Genomic DNA, 7,765 nt, shown 5'->3' on the forward strand with positions numbered 1-7,765 from the left:
ATTTCATCTTTGGTCAAGTGATACAGCTATCCCATGGTGATCTCACATTCACCTCTTACCAGGAATCCCATGTGGTCAAACTCAGCTAGAAACCAGAAGGCAAGAAAATACATTAATGTATTCCACACAATTTGACTTAGCAGGCTGAAGATCAGGATGGAAAAGGATATAGTGTTGTTTTTGAGGGAAAAGTAGAAGATACACGGTTCACACCTTCATTCCTCAGCATGTGCTCTCTTCCTTCCTTTGGGAAGAAGGTTTGTGTTCCTAGCAAAGGAGACACATGAAATCCCATCAGTTATTGTATCATTATAGGGTAATGTCAATTCAGCAATACTTTTCCTGAAATCTAAAATGTTAGGTATCACCAGTGTTCTTCACATAAAGAATAAGAGACGATGTCAAGTCCAACTTGACATAGTAAAGTATAAAAAATGGAGAAAAACAAAACTGCTCAAGTCTGTTCTCTGCCTCAATAGCTAGTCATGAAAATTGGTTAGTACAGCTGCATTCTTCCACTACCCTTTGCGTGTTCCCCTTTACCCTCTGCCATTACTTTGGTTGGGTGGCATTATTTACCTGGTGGTATACTCTATATCTCACTTCTGTGAAATCTGAGTCTTTGATGTTCTTGAATTTTAAGGATTGTTACAGTTTTCCATTGACCAATACTACTAAGGATAGAAAGCTAAGAGATTCCCCACTGAATTTCCTGAGTTCCAAATATAGTATTACCTATTGTGTAGTCGTTGCCCGGTTCTATAGAAGGCACTGAGTTTCCCCCTTTTCATCAAAATCAGTCACCCTGCTCAGTACGGTGGTCCTTTACGTGCTTGTTGGTTCAGCTATATGAAGAACCCCTAAATGGCCAAAAGGTAGTCTCAGCCATTTCATCAGTTCTCTGGTAGAAGTCAAGGCACCTGGTAGAAGAATGCCTCATTGAGCACTAAGACCTTAAAACTGACCAAGATAAGATTTAGTGGATGAGATGTGAAAAAAAAATCTTCCAAGTGAGGTATTTAATGAGAAGGGTCCCTTTTACTTCTACTCCTTGGCAATTTTGAAGAGAGGAACGACTTCTTCAAAGCTGCTGAAGAGGCATTCTGGTTGCCCATGTATGTTTTTAATTGTATGTTGATAACTTTTTTTTTCCTTTGTTCTCTGTCTGGGGTCATCATCATCAAAAGAATCTAGGTAATAATCATAATTTTTATAACTGTTGTTTCTGTAGCAACTAAGTGCCACAGCCATTTGACCTCACAACATCTTGCCATCTGTCTGCATTTCATCCCATTCTACCATTGATGATAAGTTCAGTAATTGCGATGCTACTACATTCCGTAGATTTCCCATGTCCTATTATCCTTGCATTCCTTGAATATATGAACAACCCAGTCCCAGAATCCTATTTTGAGGGTCTATTTTCTGGGGCTATTTCTGATACAATTACTGTATCTGAGTCCCAGCAGGAAATAGATGGCATACTCAATCAAAAGGAGGATTTAATAAAAGGACTATTTAAAAAGCTATGGTCAGAGTTCAGGGAAACTGCAAGGGATGGTACAAGTACCCTGGAGTTGCTAACAGCAAAAGTACCACCCTCCCTAGGCTTAAAGGGACAAGGGAAGATTACCAGAATCACTCAGAAGGAAAAAGTACCCAGAGTGCCACCTTGAGGTAATCTGGGTTCCTTGCTTGAGAGACACAGCCATCCTGGGTCTACTCCACAAGGAGGGAGTCAAGGGAATCTCTTATGTTCCTCATAGTTCCTACCAGCACTCCCCAGTGGCAGGACCCAATGGAAAGCCAAAGGGCAGGGAAGACCTTTGATATAGGCCATACAGGTGAGCCTCCTCACAGCACTGGGCAGGGTGTAAGATATTGGAGAATTCATAGCCACACCAAATCTATGAAGAGTTTCAAGAGTGTTTGTGTTTGGCATTTTAAGAAGAAGGAAAATATAATCTGCTAAGAGATGCCAGAACTAAGGGTCTGATCAGCCCTTGAAAGGACAAAGCAAGGGCTTTTGAGAAGTCTACATCTCTGTTCTACATATTTCTTCAGAGAAAGAGTGACTTTTGTAAGCATTTTAACCATCCTACAGTTCACACAAGTAACTAAGAAATATTTAAATGCTTACTCTGTGCTGTTTCCAAAATAACAAATATCCAGGCTTGTTTATATTTATCAAATTTATTAAATAGTTTTACTAACCAATCTACATAGATACTATATTTAACATTCAACATAATAATAAATATTTTGGGATAAATAAGTGAAACCATTTTAGAGCCCCTAGGGCTTACAAAAAGAATCATAAAAGATCCATATTTATAGTTTTAAGATTAAGAATAATAGTTACAATAGGTAGCAAACCATACATTCAACAATAAATATAAAATTTAAATATTTAAATAAATAGAAGGCCTGATATGTTTTAAGTGGGAAGCACTTAATTATCAAGTCAGTGTTGAGATGATGCTTTGACAAAAGGTAATCCATCTGTTCAGAAATTCTACAATGGTTGCTGTCTCATCAGCATATTCACACATGAATGTTGTTTCAGATCCCTATAAAAGAAAAATGTTAATTTTTTAAAGTACAGAGTAGTTTACCTTATATACAGTTATTCCCAATTGAAGTCTTATAGGCCTGTTGCCTTTATTTTCAAGCTTACCAAACATATTAATTATTCACATTTTCTTGAAATGATCAAAATGAATGCCAAAATTACATATTTTGTTATGATACCAAATGATAGTAACACAGAAGCTGAGATTTTCCTCATTTGTTAATTCAGTCAATGAACACAAAAATTTTTTCCCTAAATTGGGTGCAAATAAAGATTTAAATAAAAATAGATCTAGACAAATATTAAATGCTGGATGTGAAATAAACTTGATCGCTTTTCCTCTGAATGTACACCTATATTTGTGTAAGTTAAATGTATGAATTGATATGCACATTATACTTTCTTCTTTTCTAAATCTTGATTAGAGTCTCCTATTTTTCTACTTAAGTGAATCTCCTTATATTTTCCCCAAAGCAGAACAGAACTACACTAGAGTAAGCTAGGACATGCTTCTGTTTGGGATAAATTTGTGTGAAGAACATCTTCATAAATACTTACACCTATCCCTACCCCATCATAGTATCAATGCAGGTGAATTTGCCAACTTTTAAAAGTTTAAACATTAGAAATTTTGTTCTGTGGACTGGCTTTTTAGAAATTAGGCTTCTCTGCTGAAAGGAGCTATTTAAACGCTTCCTCTAGTTGATAAGCTAAGGAGGAAATATTTTGATATATAGTGAGATTTAAAAGAGAGCTTTTCAAATTTGAAGTGATTCCTACCCTGGGAACAAAAGCAGGTGAGATAGAGTGTTCCCTTTAAATAAGTATTCTCTTTTAAAAAACTGTTGCAGTGTTCTGTATCCTCTTAAGCATAATTGTTTAAATATTGTCATATCTTGGGATTTTTTTATTTTAAAAAGTGTTTGGCTTTTGAAACACAGTTTTCAGATTTTTGCATGGTTTTGTCTTAAATTTGTATCAAGAGTTAAGAATGAGTTTTCTGATGTTAATTATTTTAGAGTAAAACTCTTGCCATAGATAAGGAACTGAATCTGTCAATGTCTAGATGACATTGATCTCAATGTATTTTTTTAATTCAACTGAAACAGTCCACTAATAAGTGATTCATTTGGACACAACTGGAGTTACTTTTAGGAATGTCTTTTACTACTATACTTATGCTGCTTATTTAGGATACCTATTAACTCATGAATTTTATACCTTAGGAGACGGGATATAAAAAGACAAAAGTGAATCTCTTTTACATCACCTGAGTCCCTTGCATATTTTATGCTTCCTGTGCATTTAAAAATACTTAAGATTCTGAAAGTGGGGATTGCCTCTAAAAAGATTGTTGTTTGTTTAGTCCACTGGCCATTTTAATGGCTCCAGTTTTTTTTTTTAAGACAAATCTCTTATGGGTAGTCCTTCCATCAAATGATAAGGAAACACCATTTGAAAAGCCTTTCAGGTAATCAGTATTGGCTATTCCAGTAAATGATCTGAAGGAATTGAAAAATATATAGTAAAATCTGCCTGCTTTCTGTGAAACTCAACTCAGTACCTTCTCTCACTCCCAGTTTTGTGTTAATATGAAAGGTGATGGAGTTTGGGATGAGGCTTGTCCATTAGTAGATGGTAGGTGCAAACTCAGTAGCTTATACTCCCCAGTTAATCATTTAACATTAGAAATGATTCATGTTCACAGTGTACTTAAAATGTAGGCTAATTACATGCATGGGTACTTTACAAATACCAAAAATGTTATGTCACTTTAAAATGTGGTACTTTTCCCCCTACTTTTTTTTTTTTATTTCCAGGAGAGCAAATAAAGTAATGCCTTACCTTTAGTTCCAGAACTATTACGTTGATATTGCTGATTAAGTCCCTGGGTCTTAAGTGAAAGTTTTTGCTTTGAGCTAAATTTAGCACTTCCTCCAGAGGTTTGAGTTCTTCTTCTAGACACTGAAGATGTTTCAGTTCTGTGGCCTAGAATAATAATTATCATCAGCTCAGTTTACATAGAGGTCAGAATCAGAAATTAATTTCCAATTTATTTTATTTGGAGTAGCAGTATGTAGTTTTTACCATTCTCTCTGTTCTCAATGTCACTGTAAAGATGGACCAGTAGAGTTTACATTATAAAACTGGAAAAACTAGGGCTCAAGTACCTATGACTAGCGTTAAGTGATAGTTGACTCACTGGTTTTAGCTTAATTTGGCTTTGCAAAATGTTAGACTTTCTGCATCTAAATGCCTATTACAGATGTAGGCTGATTACTTTTCCAATCTGCATAGAAAATCATTAGAACCAGATGAGTTAGAATGTGGAAGCATAAAAATCACATTCTATGATTATAATATTTGATAGTCTAAGAGTTAAGAATCACAGAATGTTGAGAGAGAAGGAACTCTTGGATGCCATCTATCACAATCCCAACATTTTACACTAGGTAACAATAATCATGTAGTAGTGGCTCTCAATATAGCCTTGAGCAAGACACATTTTTAAATATGTCTTAAATTTTTACTTTTCTACAATCACTACATTAAGATGCATTTTAAAAATGTTTGTCCCAGTGAAATAAAAAATTATAATACTTTGGGAGGACTTTTGGACAGGCCTCTTGATTCTATATTATATATAATATTTCATATTTCTATGGTATATTACAATTTAAAAGAATTTTCTCCAAAATAGGCCCATTTACTTCTCACAGTCATCTTTTGAAGTAGGCAGTGAAGTATCATCTCCACTTTATAAATAAGCACACTAAATCTCAGAATTTGACCACATAAGTAGGTAGAGCCAGAATTAGATTTCATTTCTTTCTCATTATAGCATTAACATAGCATCCTTGGAATCAAATATTTTTATTAGTTTCTAAAATCTTTTGTAAATGTGCAATGAGGGTTAAATGAACAAATGAATAGAGTTTATCATTACTTTTGGTTTCAAACTTAGATTTCCATGAATTCTACCACCCCCTAAATTATGCACATAATCTCATCTTTCTAACACTCTTTAGTGGGAAAGGTAGGTCAAGACAATACCAATCCCCTGATATGTCCATCTATTGCGCTTTCAATTCACCACTACAAATTCTACAAATTCGGGTTTAAGTTTTTGGCATGAACAATGTGGAGAAATTTTCTTCAGAAAACAGCATCTAGTATCTTTATGTTGCTGGAGTTGCATTATGTGGCTCTGATTAAACTAGAGTAACATCTGTAAGCTGTCTCCTTTACATCTTTCAGAAGGGTAGTTAGAAGCAGATTTCTCTTGAATTAATAGAATTTGAGTCAATGGGATTGCATCTGTGTCCCCTTAAATCCTATTATTTTCTGGGCTTGGATTCACCCTGGCACAAGCTCTTTCTGGCACCAGATTTTGTTCATTCTCTCTTAACTGGCACAGCTACTAGGTAGCTTTACACACCTAATGTAGCCTAGGAGCTTGGATGATTATGCTTATGCTCTATCTGAATCCAAAAACAACCTAATGAAGCTTTTAATCTTGGAAAATAAGTCATATAGCATTATAAATCTCAAGTTCTATTGGTAAAAAGATAAAGTCCAAAATTTTACTTTGTATTTCTCAGTGAAAATTTTATCTTTAATACTACTAATAATAGCTAATGCTTGTATGGTATTTACCTTATGCCAGACACGGTTCTGAGTGCTTTACATTTACTTACTAATTCTCACAAAGCCATATTAAGTATATACAGTTATTCATTTAAGTAGACATGAAACTGAATCACAAACAGAGTAGGTAATTTGCCAAAGATCATGAAAGCTAGGACATGGCAGAGCTGAGATTTCACTTCAGATATCTGGCCCCAGACTCTGTGCTATTAGTGTTATGCTGCCTCTCACTTAGAAACCTTTCCTAAAACAAGAAAAGATTTTTAAAAGTGGGCTCCTTGGAAATAGATTTTGGTATTTTACATACTAAAATGACATAATCAAATATTTTAGAGTTTTACATTTTTAAATGAAACCATAAATGAACATTTTTGTTTAGAATTGTCTTATCGATAAAGTGAGAATATTATTTTTATGTTTTCTTCCCACCCCCACCAACACACAAATATATATTAAAAATATAGGTAAAACTGTTTTAATAGAGGCTTCATTATCAAACTTGGGTTTTCAAAAAAACAAATTAAAGTTACTCTTTACCTCAGATGAGCTGCTATTAGTCCCATCTGTGCAAATTTTCATATTACTTTGAATTTTATTAAAACAGAAATTGAACATAAAATATTGTACTTACCTTCTTGGGCATGTAAAACTTAAATGTGAGCATCCTGGTGAGTTTGGGATTCTTGTAATTCTAAGAAAGTATAATGCATTGTTATTAAGAAATGATCTCCAGCTAGATTACTAAATGTAATAATTTTAGTAAGAAAGGAAATATACTTACATTAATTCCATTCAAAATCATCTGTAAATCCAGCAGTAAATGCTCCAGTTGTAGCTGTGTTTTCTTTGTAGAACTTGAAGTAGGTGCACTGTTTGTGACAAGTGCAAGACTTAGTGCAATGCAAGACAGGAGTTGCATCCTGTACATTGTGGCAGGAGTTGAGGTTACTGTGAGTAGTGATTAAAGAGAGTGATAGGGAACTCTTGAACAAGAGATGCAATTTATACTGTTAATTCTGGAAAAATATTATGGGGGTGTCAAAATGTTTTACATATTACACATATTTTCAAAGACTTTACCTGTCTGAAAAAACATTACCTTCATTTTTCCTCTTCTGATGACTCTTTGGAATTTCTTTAAACCCCCAAAGACTGACTGAATGGATGTAGGTGAAATCCCTCTTTGTTACATTAGCCCACACTTAGGTGATAGCTCTAATTCATGCAATTAACGCCTTCTGTATGAAACAGTTTTTCCTCCTTTCTTTAAGGGGGTGGGGATACAAAAGTAACTCAGAAAATTTTCTTTGTCATAAAACTACACTGAACATGTGAATAGCATATTGTGGTGGACAAGAGCAAGAGTAAACAGATGAAAAGAATAAATGTTTAGATTTGTTGATAAAACAGGAAGTGTATTGGTTTCCTGTTTCAGAATGGTTTTACCTTTTTATCCACACAATGAGCTAATTGCATACAATAAGATAGATTGCTTCTTACATGTCAGCTAGAGAAATACTAAGATTAGAATACTTAAAATGCTTA

At 34.3% G+C, this 7,765-nt stretch overlaps 1 protein-coding gene across 1 annotated transcript; it reads right to left on the minus strand.

Moving 5' to 3' along the window:
* On the minus strand, positions 2,178-7,433 carry IL2 (interleukin 2). The gene is made up of 4 exons (NM_000586.4): positions 7,002-7,433; positions 6,852-6,911; positions 4,418-4,561; positions 2,178-2,570 (listed from the first exon to the last, which is right to left on the minus strand). The coding sequence occupies exons 1-4, from the start codon at positions 7,146-7,148 to the stop codon at positions 2,460-2,462; spliced, it is 462 nt and encodes a 153-aa protein (NP_000577.2). The 5' UTR covers positions 7,149-7,433; the 3' UTR covers positions 2,178-2,459.

Source organism: Homo sapiens, chromosome 4 (assembly GCF_000001405.40).
Source record: "Homo sapiens chromosome 4, GRCh38.p14 Primary Assembly".
In the NCBI taxonomy this organism is placed as follows: domain Eukaryota; kingdom Metazoa; phylum Chordata; class Mammalia; order Primates; family Hominidae; genus Homo; species Homo sapiens.